This window comes from Homo sapiens, chromosome 19 (assembly GCF_000001405.40).
Source record: "Homo sapiens chromosome 19, GRCh38.p14 Primary Assembly".
NCBI lineage: Eukaryota > Metazoa > Chordata > Mammalia > Primates > Hominidae > Homo > Homo sapiens.
Window position 1 is genome coordinate 22,611,672 of NC_000019.10, and position 26,474 is coordinate 22,638,145.

At 49.2% G+C, this 26,474-nt stretch overlaps 1 protein-coding gene and 1 long non-coding RNA gene across 4 annotated transcripts in view; one reads left to right on the forward strand and one right to left on the reverse strand.

Moving 5' to 3' along the window:
- Positions 1–3,885: 3,885 nt before the first annotated feature.
- On the reverse strand, positions 3,886–12,300 carry LINC01785 (long intergenic non-protein coding RNA 1785). Its single transcript, NR_135233.1, has 2 exons — positions 12,186–12,300; positions 3,886–4,882 (listed from the first exon to the last, which is right to left on the reverse strand). It is a non-coding gene; the product is annotated as a long intergenic non-protein coding RNA 1785 (long non-coding RNA).
- A 10,352-nt stretch (positions 12,301–22,652) lies between these two features.
- The window catches only part of ZNF492 (zinc finger protein 492), a 33,348-nt gene continuing 29,526 nt past the window's right edge, over positions 22,653–26,474 (forward strand). For 2 of the 3 annotated variants that reach the window (XM_047439130.1, XM_047439131.1), the window contains exon 1: positions 22,653–22,750. The gene's annotated coding sequence lies outside the window, so the exon portion shown is untranslated. Of the gene's footprint in view, positions 22,804–26,474 lie in introns of all 3 variants that reach the window. The other variant, NM_020855.3, reaches the window with a different exon arrangement.

Below are 26,474 nucleotides of genomic sequence, written 5' to 3' on the forward strand. Positions count from 1 at the left end.
TTGTTTGTTTGTGGGTGGGGTGCGGGGAGGTTAGGGGAAAAGAGAGTAGGAGATAGAGATGTTTTCAGATATCCCAGACTCCATAGCTACTGGTGAAAAACAATCCTGGGTGGATGGATATTGATGAGGGAAAGAGTCTGTTTGACCAAGGTTTGGATTAAACAACTATATTTTTGAGAGATTGCTTTTCAGAAAGATCAAGGAATCCTGAGACTGGATAGTTAGTGGGAGGTGAGACTCATTCCACAGAAATTGAAAGTTGGGATCAGAGTTTACAACTGGGAAGTCGGGAAGCCCAGATTTGGAGCTGTGTCCTCCTGGGATGATCTTAGAGGCTGGCTGTCTATGCTGAAGAGTGAAGCTGTGGGTAGGTGGTTGCTGGGTTGAGGGACTTTTGATTTCTTGTTAGGAAATGTCTTCGGATGACCCACATGGGCCTGGTGTCTGCTGCCTCCATCTTCAAAGGACCATGGAGAAGCCCTTTCTCTGTAGGAGTCATAAGTTTGGGTTTTTTCTTAAAAGAACACATTAGTCATTCTGGGTCTCCCCTTATTGCCAATGCCAGGGAAGAGGCATCTAGTCCTTAAGTACAAACACTGGCTGTCTTCCTATTCCTATTAGCGTCCCTACCCCCTCTGCATCCCCCACTCCCCATACCCCAAGGCTTTACCAGATGGTTCTTTATGATGAAGAAAGTCTGACTTTAGAGCTTTACCACCTCACCTTGGCTCCCTCCTTACTGGGCAGATGCTGGACTTGCCTCTTCGTAGCCCAGAAGGCAGCTTAGTCAGGTCATCCCTATACTAGCTCCTGCAGCCCTCTGACCAGCCTGGTTCCATCATTGGAGGGCCATAGCAGACTCTGGGGTAAGAATCCAGAAAACCTTCTCAGCAGGGAACTGAAACCAGTCACTGGAGGCATAGATTTGTGAAATTGCCAGAGAGCAAATGGGTATTCTGAGAGGCAGCACATGGCTACTGGCTACCCATGTTCCAGAGACTGGGTCTTGCTTCTCCTCAGCAGAGGCCATCATTCTGGGAGGCTCACCTGACTAGAGAAAGCTTTCTCTTATATGTGCAGTTTCTATTGTGTAGAGGGGTGGAGGTGGGATCATGGGAAATTGGAGTGCTACCAGGTCCCTGGTTTTTGCTTTTATTAAAAAAACACTCACACACAAAAAAAACAAAACAAAAAATGTGGGGCCACGTGCGGGAATGCAGAGGATCTGACTGAGGAATTTCCCCTCGCTATTGCCTTCCATGGAATTTTTTCAAGGGCCTCTCAAGCCCCATCCATCTGGTTTAGCCAAGTTCTCAGCCTGGGGAATGCAGTACTACTTAATGATTCAGGTTTGCCATTTGTAGTGATGCTTGATTTCCTTTTCTTAATATATTTGTAGATAAAAACTGAACAGGGACAAAGTAGCTATTTAAGAAAGGCAATGAACCATGGTGGGTCTTATCATTTTCTTTAGATTGGATATCTGTGAAGTCCTCACCCCTCTGAGTTATGCTTTTTTTCTTTTCTTTTCTTTCTTTCTTTCTTTCTTTTTTTTTTTTTTTTAGAGGGAGTCTCGCTCTGTCACCAGGCTGGAGTATAGTGACAAAATCTAGGCTCACTGCAACCTCTGATTCAGGGGTTCAAGCAATTCTCCCACCTCAGCCTCCTGAGTAACTGGTACTACAGGTGTGCCCCAGCACGCCCAGCTAATTTTTGTATTTTTAGTAGAGACAGGGTTTCACCATGTCGGCCAGGATGGTCTTGATCTCTTGACCTCATGATCTGCACATCTCGGCCTCCCAAAGTCTGGGATTACAAGCGTAAGCCACCGCACCCGGCCCTGAGTTATGCTTCTTAAGCGTCTATCTCATCATCTCTTGATTTAGGGATAATTCTGTCTGGTGCTTGGAGACCTCTTCCCTAGGAATTAGTGGGTGGAGTCTCTATATACTTGTGATTCACAGCTAAATATGAAATTTCCCAATCCAGGAGGAGACAGCAAAGAGCTGGGGTAAAGATGTGCAGACTGGTTGAAACACTTAGCCAAACTTAAGCGGCCTGGATGGGACCATCACTCCCAAAGCTGTCAGCAGAGAAACGCCCTCTGTGTCAATCAATTCAAGCCTGGTATTGCTCTGAAATTGAGTCCTCATCCCATGGGGGAAGGTCTCTGGGGGCTTTTCATTCCTTTATACTAGTGTTCTGGATATAACTTCCTGCTTCCCACTTTCTTTTTTGATTTCTCAGAAGACCAGTGTCTCCCTCTGAACCGTGGCCTTCTGTGCACCGAGCTCAGTGGCTCTTCCCCACCAAAACTCCTAAGAGAAGTCATCCCTCCCCAAAAGGATCCCCACAAGATGTTCTGGCCCTCTGCTGACTGCTCCCTCGAATCAGCACCTCAAGGACTGTTTGAGAATGCTGTGCTCTCCATTGGTCACCTTCGGACTCCGTTTCCCTGCTGCCATGTGTATTCTTCTCTTCTGCCCTGTGTATTCCATGGTGACCCCCTTAATGTCTGTTCTGTGCCACTAGCTTGGCCCTGGGCCTTTTATTTATACCCGAGTCTTACAACGAAGAGTGTCCTGAGCAGACAGTGTCCACCTTCTTTGCTCTTCCGGGTCCTGAGTGTGCTCCTTTCCCTTTTGCAGGTCTATTGGACATAGTAATCCGGTGTGCTGGGGAGGGGTAGCCAGGCCGGCTACAGAGTCTGCAATGCAGGGGCTTGGGGAGGTTTGGGTTCTCTCTGCCACCACTATTGAGATGATATTCAGAAGAGAGAGGACCTCATACTGTGACCAGACCCAAGACCCTTCCTGGAAGACAGCTCAGTCCAGCTGTGTGTGTGTGTGTGTGTGTGTGTGTGTGTGTGCGTGTGTGTGTGTGTGTGTGAGAGAGAGAGAGAGAGTTATGTGTGTGCTGTGCTCATGTGCACCTGGGTGTAAAATGACTGTTAGCTGGTTGTGTTACTCAGGGTGGGCTGGGGACTCACTGGAAGAATCCCCTCAGTCTGCCCAAGACAGGTTTTTTCCTTGTGCCCTCTTCAGAGAGGTCAGGGAAAGAGGGTCCAGGTGGGCAAAGGCGGAGATGCCACAAATGATTAATCACTAAGGCCAGATGGCTGCCAGGAGGAGTGGGGGATGATGAGGTAGCCCAAGGGTCCAGGCAACTGGCTTTGGTTTTCCATCTTCTTTCCTCAGGATGCCCCTGAGGCCTGGGACCTGTGCCTGGCTTTGAGGAGCATCTGTGGCTTGGCGATCCAGCTGCTGGGGTGATCATGGGCTTCCCTCCTCTCAGCAGGGCCGGAGTTCCTGGTCCAGAGACTGAACAACTGGCTCTTTCTGTGACATATTTATTTTTACTTGTGTTTCATGTCACTTTTTTGAAAAAAAGCAAGCAGAACAATTGTTAAGTCAGTATAGCTGCCTATCGGTTTTCCTTATTTCTCTTTTTGTAAAATAAAATTAAAACTCCAGAAGGCAGTGTTGTTTGATTGAGGAATGGTCTGGACACTGGGTTGGCTGGGTGCTAGTGAAAGGAATAGATCTTAGAACACAGTGGGCTCTGCGATAGCCCTTGGGTGGTGAGACAGGCAGGAACAGAAGGAAGACTGCTGGCAGTTTCTTTGTTACAGTGGGGTTCACTGGGCTTTTTCTGCTTTTGTTTACCTGAAGAGGGATGTATTTCCAGGCTCCAGGGGAAACAGCAAGCTGACTTCAGAGTGGCTTGAGGCTAGCTGGTCCTCAGCCATGACAAGTCCTGCACGGACAGCCCTGACCAGACTGTGAATGGCGGGGTATTGGGTGCAGTGCCTTCAGAGGGTGGGAGATGGTTGTAAGGGATAATTGGAAGGACAGCCAAGAAAGGAATGAGGCCAATAGACCCAAGTTCAGGCAAGCTGATTTATTGTCAGTCCTGCCTGGCTACCTCTTGACAAAAGCAGAGAAGGCAGCCCCACTTATAGGCTAGAGCAAGGTTTTATAGGACATAGAACTGGATCAGGGTGAAGGAAAAAGAAAAGGGGGGGGGTCCTTTGTGCCATGTGTCTGACCGCTTCCTGGAGATGTTTTTCTTGCCAGTTCTCTTGTGCAAAGTAGACGTCTTAACCGCATCCTGGGACAGCTGGCCTCTGGTCAAACAGTTACAGGCAGGTTTGGGGTAGCGGGTTTTACTTTTTGGCCTTTGGGGCTTAGTCTATGGGAGGGGGAAACAGTCCAGTTGGGTGGACCTTAGCAATGGTGTATCTGTAAGTGGCTGGTGGCAGCGACAACATTCTTACGCTGCATGTGTATTGTTCAGTTGTCATCTGTGTTGGGGAATCTAGCCACTGGCCCACAGAGAGTTAACCAGAGCTTGGGAGTGTGAGAGGTGGGAAAGAGGGAACCATCTACTCCAGCTTCCTGTCTAATTTCTTCAAGGGGAGGGGCCCTGGGGAAACAATTCCTTGGAAATGTACAAAGGAGGATAGAGAAAGAATCTCTGTAGGAATTCCTTGGGCAGAGGAAGGCAAGAGGACACCCAGGTCACGTCAGGGCTCATGATAGGGAAATCTGTGCTATGGGGAGATGGGACTGGGAGTGAAGGGTGGGTGCGGCAGATGGCTGGGCCAGCAGGTTTCCTGCCACCTGTTAAAAGGGGGTGGGGGTCGGGTAAAGAAAGTGCCTTGCAGAGTAGGCTGCTGCCTCCCGGTGGTCAGCCGCGGCCTTGCATGGATCTTGCCAAGGGAGTTTGCTTGGCGGTGTTGGAAGCGGCCTGAGATGAAGCTGGGCGGGCTGATGGCCTGCTTCCCCCGTCACCGGCAGACTCTCCTTCCACGAAAGACTTGCTGAAGCTCCTGAGGCACATGCTGAACTGTGATGTGGGACTCTGGAGTTCCCCAACCACGCTAAAGGAAGTGAGCAGAGAGGACAAGATGAAGAATGGGCGCCTCCTTATAACGGCTTCCTGGGAAAAGCTCACCACTTGATGAGAAGCAGAACTGACCAGCAGGCCCTGCAGGCAGAGGCTGTCAGTCTCTGAGCCAGTGCCATGGCCCTCTTTGTGTCAAAGGAAATGCTTCCAAGTGAATAGCCTGCCTGCCTAGGGCACCTGAGCTGAGCGTTTGACCGTGTCCTGGGAGTTCATAGGTAAAATAACTGCCGCGACCTGCACTGACCCGGACCGGAGTGCCTGAAAGGGGCCAGCTGCCTATTCCGCCAGTCCGCCTGGAGGGCTGGGACAGGCTTGGTCCTGTGGACGAGGTTCCATCTCCCCTGCCTGCGGAAGGAAGAACGTGAAGCACAGAGAAAGGAAGCGGGATGATGACTGCCCCTGTGTGCCCAGCCTGCTCTTTGCTAGTGCAGTAGTGGGATCCACAAGGTCAACCACCCCATGATTGCTGACTGTTTCCACCACCAGTTTCCTGGTGTTCCCATCTGCGGGATCCTCTCCCATCAGTACTGGTCAGAATACCGAAGTAGCTCTTAGCCTCGACGGTCTTGTAGCCAAGCTTATGAACATCGTTGTCACCTTCCCCACCTCCCACCAAAAGTCTAGGACTGTCGCGAGGGGAGGGTTTTATCTCTGGGCCCCTGGCAGAGTGCTTTGTGGTTTATATGTCCTCAGAAATTTGAAGGGAAGAGTGAAGCGATCATCAAGGAGCTTACACTTGACCTGGGAGTCACCTAAGCTATCGCTAACCAGAAAGGTAGACCAGCCTCCCCCAGCCACCACCAGGGCACTGAGGGAGGAGCCTGGAAGGGGGCATGCCCCTGGGATGTGGACTCCAGGAGGGCGGAGCCTTGGTCTTATTCACTGTATCCCCAGCCCCTAGAATTGTCCTGGCAGGGAGTGATCATAAATGTTGGATGGATGAATGTGCTCACGGAGCGGGGAGGGGTGGGTGGAGGCAGGAAGCAGATATTTGGATCCACCAGCTTCTTCCGTGAGCCCAGACTGGGCTTAAGCTTCCTCAGCTATGCCTTGCTTGGTTCCCAAGTCTTTTGCGAAGCCATAATGAGAGAAAGTGGCAGGACTAACGGTGGTACAAATGCCAGAGGCGGATACTGCTGTGCCGTGTCTCCCTAGCCTGTGCAAACGCTCCTCCTCAGCCTCAGCTCCCTGGCCCCAGCCTGGCCCTCTCCTGTGGACCCCCGGGCTGGGCTGTCACTGAGGTGCTCCGGCTGACCCAGATCCCCTGGGTGTTGCTAAATCAACCTCGGCAACTGTAGAGTTTGCTGAAGGCGGGAAGGTAGTCCGAGGGTTCCGCCCCAGCCGGCTCCAGGGTCAGGCGCACGCCCGTGGCCATGGAGACGGGGAGAGGAGGCCTCGGCCCTCCCGGTCCAGCGCATTCAGCCAAGGCTACGGCCACAGCCACGTCTAGCCAGAGAGGGGGCGGCGGATCCGTGTGCGCTGCGGGCAGTGGTGGAGGCGGGGCCGGGCCGGAGGCGGGGCCGGGCCGGAGGCAGGGCGTCCCCACTGCAGCGTGGGTCTGGGACACCAGTCCACCCCTGCGCGACCTCAGGGCCCCCACATCCTGAGGGGACCGGCTGCTCTTGGCCTCTCGCCTCGCCCATCGCTGGCCCCGGCCGCGTCCCAGGGCCTGGATGCGAACTTGGGGCAGCCCTCACCCTTCTGGGCAGTTTGGAAGGTGAGAGGAAGAGAGAGGTGGTTACTAAATTCCCTTCAGGGGACAGGAAGTGCTCAGCTGAGATGGCAGATCAGAGTGAGGGCTGGTCATTCCCAAGGCAAGTGGGGGGCCTAGATGCTAAGAGTTTTGCAGCTTTGGGCTCAGAGACGTCCAACAAAGATTAAATTCTTGAGTCTTTCTGGAAGCCAGTCACCAGAGAGGAGAGAGAAAGCGGAAATGGGGTCCTGGAGTCCGAGTGTCTGGGTTCATGTTGCCTGCATTTTGGTCCACATGGCTCTGTTTAATACCTGTGTGACCTTGTGCAAGTCTCTTAACCTCTAACCACTTGCACCCTTAGCCATACCTATCTTGTCGGATTGCTTTGAGGATGAATGAAGCAGCTGTGTTTCAACACTTAGTGCCTGGTGTATAGTAAGTGCTCGGTAGAAGATTTCTCATCATTATCATCAAAGACAACAGGAATGAAACTAACTGGAGACAAGATGAGTAGGACAGGCAGAAAAGAGAGAGAGATACTGATGGGTAGGAGCATAGATGGCTGAGACCAGTGGGCAGCACCTCCATGTCCTGACACTAAAAGTTTAGAAATTTACTTTGCCTCTGCCGGGTGCGATGGCTCACGCCTGTAATCCCAGCACTTTGGGAAGCTGAGGCGGGTGGATCACCTGAGGTCAGGAGTTCAAGACCAGCTTGGCTAACATGGTGAAACTCGTCTCTACTAAAAATACAAAAATTAGCCAGGCGTGGTGGCGGGTGCCTGTAGTCCCAGCTACTCAGGAGACTGAGGCAGGAGAATCGCTTGAACCTGGGAGGTGGAAGTTGCAGTGAGCCAAGATCATGCCACTGCACTCCAGCCTTAGCAACTAGAGCAAAACTCCATCTCAAAAAAAAAAAAAAAAGGCAGAAAGAAAAGAAATTTACTTTGCCTCTTTGTGAGCAAATACTGTGTGTTCATCGACTCCAAAAATAATTTTTTTAGTGTAAAATCAACACCCAGAACCCACAGGGAACAAATAATTCCACAGAGCTAAGTTTTCCACAAAGCTGCAGTGTGGCCTTTTCAGCTTCAAAACCTTTTAAATGTTAAATATTACTTTTAAATAATTGGGGTGGGAATGTACCCCCAGTGGGTCACATGCTTCCCTTCCTCTTTAAACAGTTTTCTCTGTGCTATAATTCCCCCCTCTCCAGGCAACTCAGGTCAAGGCCTCTGTGTAAGAGGGTTAGGCCTCTGGCCCCGAGCTGCCTGGAGACCTAGGCAGTCTGCCCGGAATAGCTCACACAATGGTTCTGTGTTGTGTTCCTGGGCCCGCTCTTGAACAGCTTCCCTTCCTCTATGCGTAGCTGTTACTTCTTCCTGTTGTGAGACTCCCCTTCTGGCAGCCTTTTCCTCTTACTCTTCACTGTTTCTTCTATGGGCTGGAAAATTGAGATGAAGCTTGTTAACATGGGTGATTCAAGTCTGGGAAGCTTAATGCTGAACTTTGTTCTAGCTGCTCAGGCCATTTTGCTGTGGTCTTCCCTCTGGTTCTGGATGGGTGAGCTTGCTGGAGAGCAAGGTCCCTGCAGGTCAGATGTACTTAGCAAAGAAGAGTTTCCTAAGAAATTCTCTTTCCTACACACATTTCCCCCTGGGGGGATTTTTTTCCCTCTGGGTTCCCTGTTTGTTGATAGGTGTTTGGACCCTGGTATTCATCTGTCCTCCCTCTGGCAGTAGTCCCTGAGGTTTCGGGAGGCTGGGCTGGCAGTGTGGCTCTGCTGTGGGAAGGAAGAGGTATTGTGGAGGAAAGGCAGGCTGGCTGGCATCTGGTATATCTTGGGGGAGACTTGTCCAGGCCAGGAGTATGTCCCTGGATGACTCACTCCTGTGCCCCTCTGTGACTCAGTTTCCCCCGGTGTGACCAGGGCTTCCAGCTGACAGGTAGAGCTGTTCTGAGATCCTCACCTACTGTGTTTAAGAAATAAAGAGGCTTGTGGCTTCAGTCATCCTTTATGGCTCTCTTCTAGGTCACTACGTGCTCTGGCCCCTCCACCTCCTGGGTCAAAGCACCCAAGGCAGGGCTGAGGAGGTTGGGCCAGAACCGGTTGGCGGGCAGGTGGGCACATTGTCAGAGATGGCTATCAGCCTCCTCTCCCTTCTTTCTCTGTTGCAGCTGCCTTGGGGTGCGGTGCAGGGGTCCAGAGCCATTTCGGACCTGTTACTACTGGGCCTCACAGGTGGCCTGACTCTGTTACTGCTCCTGACACTGCTGGCCTTTGCCGGGTACTCAGGGCTGTTGGCTGGGGTGGCAGTGAGTGCCGGCTCACCCCCCATCCCTACAAGTTCCATGTGGAGCCCTATGGTGAGGCTGGGTGGCTTTTCACCAGAGCTGCAGCATCTCCCCCAAGCTCTGCTCCATCGCTGTCCACTAGGACAACCCCACATGGTAAGGAGCCTCCATGGGGTTCTGCCCCACGGATGGACCTAGTGGGCCAGGGCTTCTTTGGGGAGGGTAGTTTTGGTTGCTGAGGAAAGGGTGGAAAAATCCTCAAGCTGGCCCTGCAGGCCCCTCCTCTGTGAGCTTGAAGCACCTTTCAGATTTAGCCTGGACTTCTGCTCCAGGAATCCATTTGCAGGCTTTCTACTTGCCTGGGTCTGGTTCCCCTTGACCATGGCTACTCATGGATTTTCAAATGCAGTGGATGATACCACTATGAGTCCCTAGCTTCTGCCAGGACTTCAGTCCCCTGCTGCCTCTTCTTGTCATCCCTCTTTCCATCTCCATTTAGGGCCAGTCCTGTCAGCCCAAGCCATTCAGATTCTGGCCACTCTCTGGGGTTACATCATGCTGTTTCTGTGCTTTCCACCCCTCAGCTCTCCTGCTGTAGTTGTGGGCTCTTGAGGGCTAAGACGGCAGGGTTGGGGGGCACCAGAATGGCTGAAGAGGTAAGATTCCATGCCCCATACCCAAGGTATATGGCATTTCCTTAGACCTCAAGCTGCCTAGTTGGGAGAGGGCCTGGGGGTCTAGTGGAACCAGATGAGCAGCTCAGAATGTCCAGAACACTGGAGTCATAGATGAACCCAGCATCATTAGCACCCTATGGGCATCAAGCTGTTCTTACAACCTATGGTGAGTAAAGCTTGCCAATGTAGCCTCCTGCTATGTTATAGGGTAGCGCTGCCACAGCTGGATGGGGCTGGCAGTTCTGCCAAGGGTTCTTCAGCCTCTAATACTGAGCCATGCCAAACCAAGCACTAGGAATCCCCAGTTCTGACTTTTTTTGCCTGGAAAGCTCAAGTGGACAAGCCCTACGGCCTACCCAATGTCTGCTGACCCGGCACTTAGTTGAAACAGGGTGTGCTGGTTCCCTCTCTGCCCCAGGTTCTGCTCTACACCTACACTTTGGAGATGAATCAGACCTAGCCCTGCCCTCATACAATGGGATAATTTAGGAATCAGAGAGACCGAGGGGTTGAGGAGGATTTATTATTATTATTATTATTATTTAGGTGAACTGGCCCAGTCAGATTAACATCCAAAAAAGACTGAGCCCCAAACAAAGAGTCAGGTTACCTTTTAAGCATTTTGTGGGGCAGGGGGAGATCTGTGCAGAGGGAAGCATATTACAGAAGCGAGAAACAAAAACAGTTCTTTAATTGAGACATGCATTACATCATTTCTTACTTTTCAAGGAAAAACATGTTTTACGACTTGAGTTTATCTGTCTAGTGACCTTGCAGCTGCACAGCTAGAGAAACAGGGTCTTCACAATGCCTGGGAAAGGGAGAGATAAGGCTCACTAGCCACAGACTGAAAAACAGACAGTTGATTTTTAAAGGAGTCCACCTCTTTCTCTTCCTCAGGGGGAATTGGGTTTTCTAACATACAACTGAGTTTTTGCTGACACATTCTTTAATTTCTTTTAATTCCTGTTCTAGTATAAGACCAAGCTGTGCCCCCAACCTCCTTGGTCACGTGTTGTCAGGACCTCCTGAGGCTGTGTCACAGGTGTGTCCTCAACTTTGGCAAAATAAACTTTCTAAATTGAGACCTGTCTCAGATACTTTTGAATTCACACTACTAATTTCAGGTAGAATTTTAAATTCTTAACATAGAAACAAATAAGGCCAGGTGTGGTGGCTCACGCCTGTAATCCCAGCACTTTGGGAGGCCGAGGGGGGTGGATCACGAGGTCAGGAGTTTGAGATCAGCCTGGCCAACATGGTGAAACCCTGTCTCTACTAAAGATAAAAAAAAAATTAGCCGGGCGTGGTGGCACATACCTGTAATCCCAGCTACTCAGGAGACTGAGGCGGGAGAATCTCTTGAACCCGGGAGGCGGAGGTTACAGTGGGCTGAGATCGCACCATTGCACTCCAACCTGTGCGACAGGGCGATACTCCGCCTCAAAAAAAAAAAAAAAAAAAAAGAAAAAAGAAAAAAAAGAAACGAACTAGTTAAACTGAGAAAAATTAATAAAAGTATGCTCAAATTTACTGACAGAATTATGGGTAAATCTAATTAGATTCTATCCATTTTAAGTAAATAAGAAAAAAAATTACGAAGGAGCCTTTACCTTTGGGAAATGAAAAAACCGCTTTTGACCAGTTGTTCCCCACAGGTACACACCCCAGTTCCCAGCCAAGCCAGGACGGCCTGTCCCGGTGCCTGGAGGGCAGGGCCCCTGCGGTCTGGGGTTGGGGTTTGTGTTCTGGCTCCGCGCGGTGGTCTGGACCGCGCCCGCCCTGCCTGGGCTCCCAGCCGGAAGGACGGAGCGGTTGCGGGGCGGGCGGGCTGCGAGCCACACAGGGTGCGGGCGGGGCGGGCGGGGCTGGGGTGTCGGGGGCTCGGATTCGGAGCCAGCTCTGCCGTGGGGCGGGCTGGGGCAGGCTTCCCGCTCTGGGAAATTTGCCCCTGCTCTCCCTGCCAGTTGCGGTCGTGGGCGGCCTCGCCTTGGAGCCCTGGCCACGGAGCCGCACGGGGCGGTAGAGAGGCTGGTGGGGAGGGACCAGCGGGCGGTGGAGGGGCGGCCCTGCAGGCGACGCGGGGACTGGAAAGGGCGCCTGGGTGGGAAGAGGCGCTGGCGGGTGATCGTCCCCACCGGGCCAGTCCCCGGGATCTGCTGCCGCCCCTCTCCGAAATTCACAGCCAGAGCGGGCGCACTGGTGTGTGTGGCGCCTGGAGCGCTAGGGTCCCCACCCAAGTGCGAGGCCCCCGCGGGGAGCCCAGCCCAGGGGCGTCCACAGTCCAGGCCCCAGACCCCAGGTCCTGGCTAGATTCGCCAAAGTCAGAGGCTGGAATCTGGAGGGCGGATGTGAGGGTGCCAGCTAAGCCCAGCCCCTGCCCGGCGGTGGCCAGCATAACGCGGTGACACTCTCTGGAGCCCCCACTGCCACCACTCTGCTGTCAAGCCCGCTGGGCTAAGGGATCCGTCTGCCCCTAGAGGTGCGCACCCAACGCCAGGCAGAGGGAGCTGGCGTGGGGCTGCTGGCGGTCAATGTCACCCGAGATGAGGAGGATCTTCTAGGAGGGGCCCCGGGGCCACAGAACGAGAGGGGAGTGTGCGCTGAGCCCACCTTGCAAAGACGCTCTGGTCCCCGAGGGGCGGCACCTTCGGCCTCCAGCCAAGTCGCCGAGCGCTCCCAGTGCTGCCTGCCCGGCACCTGCACTCCAGACTCCAGGCTGCCAACCAAAGAGGAAGCCCGCCCCCTGGGAACAGGCCACTCTCAGCTTGGGCGAGGGAAGCACAGACACCCCCATCCCTAGCCTGGCAGCCACACACAGGGAGGCCATCACCTGACGATTGCGGGGGGCCTGAGTTATTGACAGGTGAATATGCTGGGAATGAAGACTCCTGGGCCTGGGAGGGAGGGGCGGTGGTGTGGAGGGCGGTGAATGCCTGGACCTCTGGGTCTCCAGGCTGCCAGCGGCCTGACCAGGCTCCCGGTGTCCTCCTCCAACCTCAGTTTCCTTACCTGTCCCAGAGGAGAAATATGGCAGGGCTGTTTCGGTGATTAGGCCGGATAATCCTGGTAAAATTTATTAGCCTGCCTGGTCTGGATATTATTTTTTCTGACTTTGTTAAGAAACTTTGCTGCCCAATGTCTACTCTTGGAAAGTGAGTTGGGGAGGCAGGAAGTCAGGACTCTCACCCTTGGCTTCAGAGTCCCTTCCAGGTGCCCCCTCCCTTTAGGCTCAATGAAAGCACAGAGCTGGCAAAATTCCCTTACCCAAGACAGCTGTAGAGTCCAGAATCAGAAGATCTTGTTTTCTGACCCAAGGACCGTTTCTTACCCCAAAATCGAAATCTCTTTGAGTGGTCAGCTTCAGACAGGAGTCTGAATTTGATTGTTTTTCTCTAGGGTTAACCCAAGGCCCTTATGATAAGCGTTGCTTCATCCCCATTCCACCCCTTTTCCTGCCCTAATGCATTGGGGGTCCTTAACCGTAGTGACCTGGAATTGGGAGCAAGTTTCCCCAGGCGGGGCATATTGGCCTCCTCAACAGGCTGGCCTGGCCTTGGCCTGATAAACATCAGTCCTGGGGCAAAAGACCCAGGGCAGGGAGATCTCCCCCCCACCCCCACTTTCACATGCTGCAGTCATTTAATGGGCTGTGGTGACCTATCAGGGTCCCCTAGCCTGCAGGATGGAATTTAACTTTTTGCCATAGAGGGGGAAACTGAGGCACAAAGCTAGTGAGTGAAAAAATCAGAAAGACTCTGTGACTGGGAAACACTCCCCAGGACCAAGGTCCCTACAGGACTCAGCCCCTTTTGGGTTGTGCCAGTGGTTGGCATGTGCACCCTGGTTGTCGTCTGTACCTTTCTGGGGCTGAGGGTGGGGTGGGTGTTCTGGCAGGACAAGGTCTGTGACCCACGGGATAGAGAGACATTGCCCTCTTTCCCTGGCCTTGGGCAGAGCAAGAGTTCTGTTCTCTAATGTATGTAAGGACCAGTGCCTGTGTGAGTGGAGGTGGGACTCCTTTTTTCTTGATTAAATAAAACCCTTCCTGGGGCTGCTTAGGGGATTCTGGGGCTTGTGTACCTGACAGTTGGGTGTGGCATCTGGGTACTCAGCTTGTCTGTGCCTTGCTGTCACTTCTCCAGGGACAGCCACACACTTCTCTCTTAGTCCCCACACATGCCCAGTCCCTTACTTTTTCGCCTGGGATCCCCCTGCCTGAATCTCTCAACCCAGCCACTGCTAGGTCTCCCCAGGGACCCTGTAATCCCCGGGATGGGATTGCCGGAGGCGGTGACCCTGCTGCCTACCTCTGTCTGAAGTTAGGGTCCCTGGCCTCTGCCTGCACCTAGTGGACAGGGAGGGTGAACTGGTCAAGGATAGGCTCTTGGCCTAGCACAGGGCCTTTCTCTGCACCTCACCATATAGTGGTGGAGGCTCCAATCATGGCTGGCCTGGGAATTGCTCTGCATTGTGTCTCAGATTGCAGGAGATAAGCAGATCCGAGGAGAGGAGCACATCCTGAAAGAGAATCTGAATTTTCCAACTCAGCTGAACCCTCGGCCCCTGCCCTTGAACACACATTCTGGTTTTCTTACCAAGTCCCTGCTTGTTCCTGCCCACCTGGCCTTCCCAGGCAGGTGATTGGTGTTTCTGCCCCATGTGTGCTTTGGCTGGGAGGGTCACTGGTGGGCCACCATTCAGAAGGCAATTAAATCGGCCTCATTATCTGGGGTGTTACACGAAGTTCTTGGTCTCACAGCCAATGAAATCAAGGGTGCAGACACTCCAAAGGTGAGGTTAGAGAAGAATTTAATAAGTGAAAGGCAGAAAGCTTTCTGGCACAGAGAGGACCCCCAGGAAAAAGAGTTGCAGTTTTAAAGTGAAAAGCCCAAGGGATTTTATAAACAAGCTGGTCGGGAGAGGTGGTTCATTTACATAACGTGTGAAAAACCAGTCAGGACTAGGTGTGTCATTGCGTCCTTTGCATAAGGTGAAAACTTCTGACAGTCCCCACTCCACACTCCAACATTTTTTTTGTTTTGAGACGGAGTCTTGCTCTGTCGCCAAGCTGGAGTGCAGTGGTGTGATCTCAGCTTACTGCAACCTCTGCCTCCCGGGTTCAAGAGATTCTCCTGCCTTAGCCTCCCAAGTAGCTGGGACTACAGGCATGCTCCTGAGTAGCTGGGACTACAGGAGTGCTCCCGAGTAGCTGGGACTATAGGCGTGCACCACCACGCCCAGCTAATTTTTGTATTTTTAGTAGAGACGGGGTTTCACCATGTTGGCCACGGTGGTCTCGATCTCTTGACCTCGTGATCCACTGCTTTGGCCTCCCAAAGTGCTGGGATTACAGGCATGAGCCACTGCGCCCGGCCCCACTCCAACCTTTCTAGTGTGCCTGCAGGCTCCTTAGCGTGAGTTACTCCATGTTGCTTATCTCTTCCTACCATGCGTGTGTAAGTGTGTGTGTAAAAAGAAGTGGGTGGCAGAACCCTCCAAGGTAAACGTGCCTGATTCAGAGTAGCTCTTTTTTATCAGTGCTGTTGCAGGCACTCCCCTTGTGCAAGCCTCCTTGTCTGAATATTTTCAAAAAGAGAGAGAAATTTGCTCACTGGGGTCCTCCGTAGGTCAGTGAAACTTGCTGATCACATAGCAGTTCCTTTCTGTGTTAGAACTTGCCTCCATTATCTGCGTTTCCAGCCTGATCTTTTGAGCTCTCTTTGCTAAAACAGAAATGACCTCCGGGATTGCTTTTCCTTATAAGAGAAGCTGCTTTTTGTTAGAAGGGAATTCTACCAAGGACTCTCACCCTATCTGTCTAGTTGATTTCTTTCTCTCCCCTCTCTAAGTACCATCTGGTAGTGGGCAGCACTGAGTCATTGTGGTCTCTCCACAGCCTGCTGGGCTCTCTGCATCCCCCCAAGGGTCACCATTATCCACTCTTGGAGGGCAGCGCAGAGCTCTGGGAGGCGCCTCTTTCTAGCTTCCGTCCATACTCTCATGTGTGTGTCAGGGTCCTCCTCTGAGAGATTGGGGTATCTCTGCAGGCAGATGGCAGTGAGGTCACCATGGGGGGGGCTACCTCCCCCCTGTCTTGGGCCCAGGTCTTGGGCCCTTCTGAGAGACACTGGCCCAGCCACCCCATGAATCCTCATGGGGAGGAAGGCAGCTCCCATCGCAGCCTTCAGGAAGAGGAAAAACTAGTTGGGCTGTGAGGGAGGGGTGGCCGCAGTGCTAAACACCAGGAAGAAGAGGAGGCCGGGCCTGCAAAACTTCATTCTTAGTAGGTGCCCACCAGGTCCTACTAAGGTCCACTGCACAGTGGCAAAAGGTCTCAGAATCTCATAAATGGACACCACCCAACTGCCTTCTAGGCTCTTGGCACTGTGGACATCTGATTTCTCCCTTCTGGTAAACTGATCCCAAGGCCTGTTCTGGCTCCTTCAACCAGCTGGGATGCCCACTGGGTCCTCCCTGCTGGGCTTGCCCTGTTGTGCCTCCTTGAGAGGGTGAGAACTTCCCTGGAAGATTCCCTCATTCCCTGAAGTCCCCCAAGCCAGGTCGAAGCACCCTGGACTTCTCAGCAGCAGCAGCAGCTTGGAGGAAGGAGACAGAGGGGAGGAGACACACAGCCCAGCTCTGACAATAACCAGGATGTGGGGGGCATGGTGTTGATGCTCCTGGGAGCCTTTTTTAGCCCAGGAAAGAGACCTCAAAAGGCCAGCACTCTCCCTACACAGGAGAAGAAACTGAGGCTTGCAGGTAGACAGAAGGAGCCTTTGAAATGGGGTTGACCCAGATAGGCCTCCGTCTCCCACTTCTCTTATGGCCTTCACATGCCAGGCCCCTGACTGGACTCAGACCCAGTAGATAAGAAGCTGCTGGCCAATCCAACCACCCAACTCATTCACTTCAACTGTCCAGACACCAGCCATCCTACTTCCTCCATTTCCTGGATGAAAAACTACAAGAGGTTTCATAAAAAGCATCACATCAGGACATCAAGGTTGGCCTGGTGGCAAGGGTGTGACCCTTGGACTTGTGAGCAAGTGGTGGTGGGGTCTAAGGTAGGGGGCTCTGCAGGGCAGGACCTGTGATCCAGTCCTCTCACCTGAGCATCCACCCACAGTTGCGACATTAGCCGTGGAGCCTGGTTATGGAGAGCGTGGTGGAGAATAAGTTCGGCAGCATCCTGCAGATGGACATGATGGACATGCTGGGTGAGGGCTGCAGGCAGGCTCAGGCAGTGAAGAAGCCGGCCAGCCCTCATGTGCCCCTGCAGAGTGCTCTCCTCACTGGCCATTCTGCATACATGGCTGCTGGTCAACCAGACTGTGGTGCTGGGCGGTGAGGTGAAGCTCCGCTGTGAGGTGTGCAGGGACTTAGCATTTGGAGGCGAACAGCAGCAAGGTGGGCACCAATGTCATGCCCTCCTCACCATGCTCAAGGTGGGTGCTGCTGCCAGCTGGGTGCAAGTGGTAGGCAGGCTGTGGGGGGGGCTCCACTTCACTGAAATCTACCACCATTATAGAAGTTTTAGAGTAGCCTGCAAAAGATAAATTTATGGCACAGCCAGAAGACAAAATCATCTGCCGTGAGCAGTTCTGGATATGAACTTGCTGCTGGTTCATACCATCTTCTACGAACCATAGTCTAAACTTAGATGCAGTTTTTTGTTTTTTTTTTTCCGAGATAGGGTCTTGATCTGTAGCCAGGCTTGTGTGCAATGGGGTGATCTTGGCTCACTGCAACCTCTGCCTCCCAGGTTCAAGCGATTCTCCTGCCTCAGCCTCCTGAGTAGCTGAGATTACAGGCACACGCTACTATGCCCGGCTAATTTTTGTATTTTCAATATAGATGGGGTTTCACCATGTTGACCAGGCTGGTCTTGAACTCCTGACCTCAGGTGATCTACCCACCTCGGCCTCCCAAAATGCTGGGATTACAGGCGTGAGCCACCACGCCCAACCAAAGCAGTTTCTCTTAAAGTAACAATATACGTGTCAGTCAATAACAGTGGGAATGACTCCTGTGACTACTGTCTCTCGTAATCCTTTCAAAAACATTTGCTTCTCCCTTTGCAACCATATGCTCTATGAATTCACACACTGAGTAAAGAACTCTTTGGTGAGCTTATCATGAATCTCACATACTAAACAAACATAATACTGTATTAAGATCTCCTATAAAATTTGAGCAAAGTCTATTTGAATAATAGTAGATCAGAAATGAAAGAATTATGTTGAGCTTTCTGGAAGATGTAGAATTAGTTATTTTGTGTTTATGAGTTCTCTATTAACCTACATTTGTTACTTAGGAATATATATATTTTATAGAATTGGGTGCGATGGCTCATGCCTGTAATCTCAGCACTTTGGAAGGCCGAGGCAGATGGATCACTTGAGGTCAGAAGTTTGTGATCAGCATGGGCAACATGATAAAACCCCATCTCGACTAAAAATACAAACATTAGCTGAGCGTGGTGGCACATGCCTTTAATCCCAGCTATTCAGGAGGCTGAGATGTGAGAATCACTTGAACCTAAGAGGCAGAGGTTGCCCTGAGCTGAGATGCACCACTGCAGTTCAGCCTGGGCAACAGAAAGAGACTCTGTCTAAAAAGAAGAAGAAGAAAACAAAAGGTTAGGAATATATATGTTTCTTATTCTGTGAAGTTTAAACGGATGCACTTGCTCAAAAAATGAATAAATTTTACTCCAAATTTTTGCATTCTTCAATGCATCTTGTCTACAATAATTATTACTGTCATGTCCTAGTGGTGATTTTCTATTTTGCATTATCTATCTACATTGATTAGTACTTGGAATTTTTTAAAGAAGTCTCTTTTCTCCTATGTTTTTTCTTTTTAAAATTATTATTATTTTTTTGAGACAGAGTCTCACTCTGTCGCCCAGGCTGGAGTGCAGTGGCGTGATTTTCAAGCAATTCTTCTATCTCAGCCTGACCTCCTGTTGGCCAGGCTGGTCTTGAACGCCTGACCTCAAGTGATCCACCTGCTTTGGCCTCCCAAAGTGCTGGGATTACAGGTGTGAGCCACCATGCCCGGCCATTTTGGGTAAAATTTAAAGGAGAAACAATGTATTTATGCAGACTCAAAGGATCTGCCTCCAAATATTTATAAATACCATTTTATCTTAATTTTTTATGACTGTTTAAAAAAATTATAACAGTACTGTGAGATATATAATGTACAGATGTAAAATTTATGAATAATATAAAGAATTAAAAAAGTAATTAAAACTCTCCAACAGCAAGTTCTTCACATTTTAGCTTTATTAAAATAGTACAGTGTTAACTTTAAGTAGATTGTAATATGTTAAAGATGTATATGGTAATCCCTGAAGAAACCACTAAATAATGTAAAGAGGTGTCACTTAAATGTTGATAAATGAATTAAATTAAATTTCAAAAAGTATTTGTACAAGGATGTTTATAGACCTTTTAGTCATAATAGCTTAAAGCAGAAAACAACCCAAATGTCCGTATCTTGGAAGATGAATAAACAAATTGTAACTCATTCATGCAAGAGAAGACTACTCAGCCACAGAAAGAAACAAACTACTGAAGCACACACCCTGGATGAATCTCATAAACCTGCTGAGACAATCTTGAAATAAAATAATACATATTGAATGATGTCAGGCAAAATGAACCAATGGTTTTAAAAAAAAAACACACCAACAAATAGCCTTCATTGACAATAAAATCATCTGGGAAAAAAAGCATGAGGAAATTATTTGAGAATAATAATAATATTCTATCATTCTATTCTAGATTCCATCAATAGAATAAAAAAATTCTATCCATTCTTAAAAAATACGAAGACTATATATGAGTATATTTACATGTCAAAAATTTTTAGGATTTGTGCCTTTCAATGTTTGTATATTTGACCTCACAACAAACAAAAGTGAAAAAAATAATGGAGGGTGGACAATGTGTTGACCAGAAATGACTGAAGTAGAGAGCTATAGGTGAAACAAGAATGAGACATGATTAATAGTTCTCGAGGCTTCATGGCAGGTCTATTGAATTTTTGTTGTTGTTGTTGTCATTGTTTTTCATATGTTTAAATTTTTATATAATAAAACACTTAAATAAAAACACAAAATTGATCCACAATGTTAACTCTTAAGATTATGGTTATTGTCTAAGAAGAAAAAAGAAAGTGATTGTTGGGGCATGAATGAGGTTAGTTTTATTTTATTTTATTTTATTTATTTTGAGATAGGGTCTTGCTCTGTCAGCCAGGCTAGAGTCCAGGGGTGCAATCTCGGCTTACTGCAACCTCCACGCACGCCAGGACTCAAGTAATTGTCCCACCTCAGCCTCTGCAGAGGCTGGGACCACAGGTTTGCACCACCATGCCTGGTTCTTTTTTGTTGTTTTTTTTTTGGAGGGAGAATCTCACCATGTTTCCCAGGCTGATCTCCAACTCCTGAGCTCAAGCAATCCACCCACATTGGCATCCCAAAGTGCTAGGATTACAGACACGAGCCACAGCACCCAACCTAGTTTCATTTTCTGATTACAGAAGTGTATTTCTTTTTAACAATGCATTCAGCTTTACATAAATGAATGCTTTGTGCATACATTTCTGTATAAATGTTATATATCAATAAAAAATTATATAGTACTTTTTTTGTTGTTGTTTGTTTTTTGGGTTTTTTTTTTTGTTTTTTTTTTGAGACAGAGTTTTGCTCTTGTTGCCCAGGCTGGAGTATAATGGCGTGATTTCAGCTCACCGCAACCTCCGCCTCCCATGTTCAAGCGATTCTCCTTGCCTCAGCCTCCCAAGTACCTGGGATTACAGGCATGCACCACCACGCCTGACTAATTTTGTATTTTTAGCGGAGACAGGGTTTCTCCATGTTAGTCAGGGTGGTCTCGAACTCCCGACTTCAGGTGATCTGCCTGCCTCGGCCTCCCAAAGTGCTGGGATTACAGGCATGAGCCATCGCGCCTGGCCCATAGTACATATTTGAACAAAATGCTAACTTAGTATCTCAGAATAATGGCAACATTTTTTTGTTTGTTTTATGGTGGAACACACACACTCAGGGCATAATTATACAGCTTCTAATATTCCAAAAAGAGTATTCAAGCCCTTTTTGTTTGTTTGTTTGAGACAGAATCTCGCTCTGCTCTGTCGCCCAGGCTGGAGTGCAGTGGCACGATCTTGGCTCACTGCAACCTCCACCTCCCGGGTTCAAGCGATTCTCCTGCCTCAGCTTCCCGAGCAGCTGGGACTACAGGCACGTGCCACCATGCCCGGCTAACTTTTTTTGTATTTTTAGTAGAGACGGGGGTTCATCGTGTTAGGCAGGATGGTCTCAATCTCCTGATCTCATGATCCGCCTGCCTTGGCCTCCCAAAGTGCTGGGATTACAGGCGTTAGGCACCGTGCCCAGCCAAGCCTTAACTCCTGAATGAGACCATACGTCTTTTTATTTTAGCCCCAATTCGGTACATGGCATGTTTTTAATTTTAGGGGAATGCAACCTTTATTCTAGAAAATTTTTCCCTCACAGTAACGATCACCAATGTCAGGGCACCTACATTGGCCAATGTCAGGGCCTTGTGTGCACTCAGTATATATACAACTGGGTTGGTTCAGGAACAAAACCAATAGCGACGTTGGTTGTGCATAGAACAATAATTTGGTAATATTGGTAAGACAAAGCCATGACTTAGCGGCAAACATTTTTTCATTCATTTGAGAAAAAATTTGCAACTAGTCACCTAAAAGTACTGGTTTACAGCACTGGCATTTGACCTTGGCTGCGCTCTGTCATCACCTAGAGATATTTACACTATTGCCCAGGTTCCATTGCAGGAATTCTGATTTAATTGGTATGTGGCAACTTGTGTTTGGGGGATTTTAAAAGACCTCCGAAGTGATTTTTACATGCAGACTCGGGTGAAAACAATTGGTTCAGGGTGAGGGATGTATTCACTGTGTGTGATTTCCAGGTGTGCTTCTGGAGCTTTGCCCCATGGCTGCTTCTGACTTTGAAATCTTCAACAGCAGCTCTGCCATTGTAAAAATCAAAATGCAGGCCAGGCAGGGTGGCTCACACCTATAATCTCAGCACTTTGGGAGGCCGAGGCGAGTGGATCACCTGAGGTTAGGAGTTTGAGACCAGCCTGGCAAACATGGCAAAACCCCATCTCTACTAAAAATTGAAAAATCAGCTGGGCATGGTGGTGCACGCCTGTATTCTCAGCTACTGGAGAGGCTGAGACACCAGAATCTCTTGAAGCCAGGAGGCTGAGGTTGCAGTGAGCCGAGATCACACCACTGCATTTCAGCGTGGGAAACAAAGTGAGACCATGTCTTAAAAAAAAAAAAAAATCAAAAGACAACTTCAAGATGTACTCAAATATTTTGCTAAATTGCAGCAGAATGAAATGTCTTCCGGCTGGGGTCGGTGGCTCACGCCTGTAATCCCAGCACTTTAGGAAGCTAAGGAGGATGGATCACCTGAGGTCAGGAGTTCAAGACCAGCCTGGGCAAGATGGCGAAACCCCGCTTCTACTAAAAATACAAAAAAATTAGCCGGGCGCGGTGGCAGGCGCCTGTAATCCCAGCTACTCGGGAGGCTGGGGCAGGAGAATCGCTTGAACCCGGGGGCGGAGGTCGCAGCGAGCTGAGATCGCGCCACTGCGCTCCAGCCTGGGCGACAGAGTGAGACTCTGTCTCACACACAAAAAAGCCTAAATTTAAAAATAATTATTCTATTCTTTTCATGTGTGAGCAGCCATATAGTATATTATTTACAAATATATGAGACCTTACACACAACGTTAAAGGCAAACACCTTCTGCGGTGTGCTTGGCTCAGCTCAGGCAGGAAGCCCTGCCTGAAAAGGCTGCACCTTCGGCTGTCACTCTGTCCTCATTCGGCCCAGCGTTTGGTTACATCTTCTGTCACTCAGGGCCTGAGGGCGGGGGGGGGGGGGGTCTTAAACGTTATCCATTCAGCGACGCTGGCCTGGGAACTGTCCAATCAGGCACGCAGCTGGAGCGGAAAGGGCGGCTTCCGGGATGTGGCGGGGTCTTTGTCTCTCGCTGCAGTCGGAGTATGGTCTAGTGTTCGCTGTTCTGCGTCCTCTGGTCCTAGAGGCCCATCCTCTGTGGCCCTGTGACCTGCAGGTATTGGGAGATCCACAGCTAAGACGCTAGGACCCCCTGGAAGCCTAGAAACGGTGAGAGTGCCGGGTCCGACATCCCGAGAGAGGGGAAGGGGCTGGTTGGAACCGGTGGCAAGAGGCTGTGGCGGGACTCAGGCCTCCCCGCAGTCGGCTCCACAATCTGCGCCCCAAGTTCGCCTTGCCCAGCCCAGCCTCAGTCCCCTTCAGCCATCAGATTGGCGGCTGCGCTGGCAGCCGGACCCCCGGGCGTCCTGTCTCTTCCCTGCGCAGTGACGGTGCCCTGGCCTGGAGCCCTCTCTGGGCAGCTCTGCACCCGCAGCGTCGTGTCTCTCCCAGATTGTGCAGGGACCACGGGAGGGTGGTCAGGGGAGAATCCTGACTCGGGGTGCGGGTTCACGAATGGGAAGAGCTTTGGTTTGGTTTATGGGGTTCCTAGTTCCTCTTTTCTTCTATTAAAAATTTATGGGAGTTATCGCGAAAATACTTAAAAATTTAAGCAAGGAGTGGTTCAAAAGTTATAGAGCACCCAGCTGTGGGTTGTAGTTTGTGGTCGGTCCATGGGAGGATCTTGAAGGAAAGATGCAGATGAAAATACCCAAATTCAATAATCGGTTAGGTATATTTACGTAGTTTCTTAATTTTCACCTTGAGCCTACAAATTTCCTGGTTGTGTAATCAGAGCTTACTTGGCAGTTTATCGTTAGTTAAGCCTGAATTTTGTTTCCCCCAATGTAGTAATTTCTAAAAAAAAAAAAATGCATTTGAGTTTGATTTTTTAAAATTAGGAATCCAAAGATTAGAGCCACCTCAGTCTATTTGCCGCCACATGGGGCTGATTTTCCCTGGCATTTTTCACATAGGTCCCAAGCAGGTTCTCAAGTCAACCCCCCACACCCCATTTCTCCAGCTTAACTCTGGCTTGCAGTAAAATACTGAATTTTCAGTTCCTTCTGAAAATCTCAAATGCCAACTTCTTTTCCCTAATTTACATTATTATTTGTCCTTTAGTGTACATTTTTCATACTGTATTTTAATTAATCATTTTTTGACAAAGCATTAGATGGCATATTTAAAAAGATATGTTTTCTGTTTGTAAATATTTCCCATGAGAAGAAAGCAAGGAATATCCCGATAGTGAATTGTAAAAAATCTCTGTGCCTCTTTTTCTTTTGTCTTCCCTAGGCATAAAGATCTTATGAGAATGTTTTAGTGTCAAGATGTTTTTATTTTGCAAACGTTATGGGGTGATTTGTGCTTAGCAACCCTGTCGTTTATTCTTGGTCCTGGCTTTCAGTACTGTCTCTGAATAAACCAAGATAACCGCTATGGCGATGTCTGCTAGAGTATCTAGTGAATATCAGCTCCTAAAGTCATTTTCTTTCGTAGGACAACCTGAGATATGGAGTGTAGCCTCTCAAGTGGATACCCTGGGGAAAAGATGAATCTCTTTTAACTTTTATTTTTGGTTCAGGGGTACACATGCAGGTTTGTTATACAGCTAAAATTGTGTCATGGGGGTTTGGTGTGCAGATTATTTTGTCACTGAGGTACTAAGCATAGCACCAAACAGGTACTTTTTCTGATCCTCTTTGTCCTCCCATTCTCCAACCTCAACTAGGCCTCACTGTCTGTTGTTCCCTCTTTGTGTTTACGTGTTCTTATTATTCAGCTCTTACTTAAATATTTTTTTTTTTTTGAGATGGAGTTTCGCTCTTGTTGCCCAGGCTGGAGTGCAATGGCGCGATCTCGGCTCACGGCAACCTCCGCCTCCCAGGTTCTAGTGATTCTCCTGCCTCACCCTCCCAAGTAGCTGGGATTACAGGCATGCGCCACCACTTCCAGCTAATTTTGTATTTTTAGTAGAGATGGGGTTTCTCCATGTTGGTCAGGCTGGTCTTGAACTCCCAACCTCAGGTGATCTGCCCGCCTCGGCCCAAAGTGTTGGGATTACAGGCATGAGCCACCGCGCCCAGCCTCAGCTATTACTTAGAAACAACATGCATTTGGTTTTCTGCTGCTACGTTAGTTTTCTAAGAATAGTGGTCTCCAGCTTCATCTATGTTGCTCTATGTTGCTTCAAAGGACATGATCTTCTGTGTGTGTGTGTGTGTGTGTGTGTGTGTGTTTGTGTGTGTGCGTGTGTGTATGTGTGTTTTAACGGCCACACAGTATTCCGTGATATTTATCTACCATATTTTATTTATTTATTTTTATTTTATTATTTTTTTTTTGAGATGGAGTTTTGCTCCTATTGCCCAGGCTGGAGGGCAATGGCACGATCTTGGCTCACTGCAACCTCTGCCTCCCGGTTCAAGCAATTCTCCTGCCTCAGCCTCCCAAGTAGCTGGGATTACAGGCATGCGCCACCACGCCCAGCTAATTTTTGTATTTTTAGTAGAGACGGGGTTTCACCATGTTGGCCAGGCTGGTCTTGAACTCCTGACCTCAAGTGATCTGCCTGCCTCGGCCTCCCAAAGTGCTGGGATTACAGGTGTGAGCCACCACACCCTGACCCCATGTTTTATTTTTAGTAAACCTTTTTTTTTTTTTTTTTGAGACGGAGTCTAGCTCTGTTGCCCAGGCTGAAGTGAAGTGGTGCAGTTTGACTCACTGCAATCTCTGCCTCCTGGGTTCAAGCAATTTTCTTGCCTCAGCCTCCCAAGTAGCTGGGATTACAGGCTCTTGCCACCACGCCCGGGTAATTTTTTGTGTTTTTATTTATTTATTTTTATTTTTTTAGTAGAGATGGGGTTTCACCATGTTGGTCAGGCTGGTCTCGAATTCCTGACCTTGTGATCTGCCTGTCTTGGTCTCCCAAAGTGCTGGGATTACAGGCGTGAGCCATTGCACCCGGCCTAAACCTTTTATTTTATTTTATTTTATTTTTGAAGACAGGGTCTCACTCTGTTGTCCAGACTGGAGTGCAGTGGCATGATCTCAGCTTACTGCAGCCTTAACCTCCCAGGCTCAAGCAATCCTCTTCTACTTTAGCCCCCCAAGTAGCTGGGACTACAGGCACACACCACCAGGCCTGGCTAATTTTTTTGGTATTTTTTGTAGAGACAGGGTCTTGACATGTTGCCCTGGGTGGCCTCAAACTTTTGAGCTCAGGCAATTTACCTGCCTCAGCCTCCCAAAATGCTGAGATTACAGGTGTGAGCCACCATGCCCAGCCATACCATATTTTCTTTATCCAGTATACAATTGATAAGCATTTAGGTTGATTCCATGTCTTTGCTTTCATGAATGACAGGGACTGCAATGAACATACGTATGTCTTTATAATAGAATAATTTATATTTTACTGGTTATATGCCCAATTATGAGGTTGCTGGGTCAAAAGGTAATTCTGTTTTTAGTTCTGTGAGGAATCGTCACACTACTTTTTATAGTGGTTGAATAATTTACACTCCCATGGGTAGTGTATAAGCATTCCTGTTTCTCTGTAACCTTGCCAGCATCTGTTATGTTTTGACTTTCTAATACTAGCCATTCTCACTGGATGAGATGATATTTCATTGTGGTTTTTCTTTGAATTTCCCTAATGATTAGTGATGAGCATTTTTTTTATGCTCGTTAACCACATGTATGTCTTCTTCGAAGAAAACACCCTTTTCATGTTTTTTGTCTACTTTTTAGGTCTTTTTTTTCCTGTAACTTGTTTAAGTTTCTTATAAATTATGGGTATTGGACCTTTGTCAAAAGCATAGTTTGCAAATATTTTC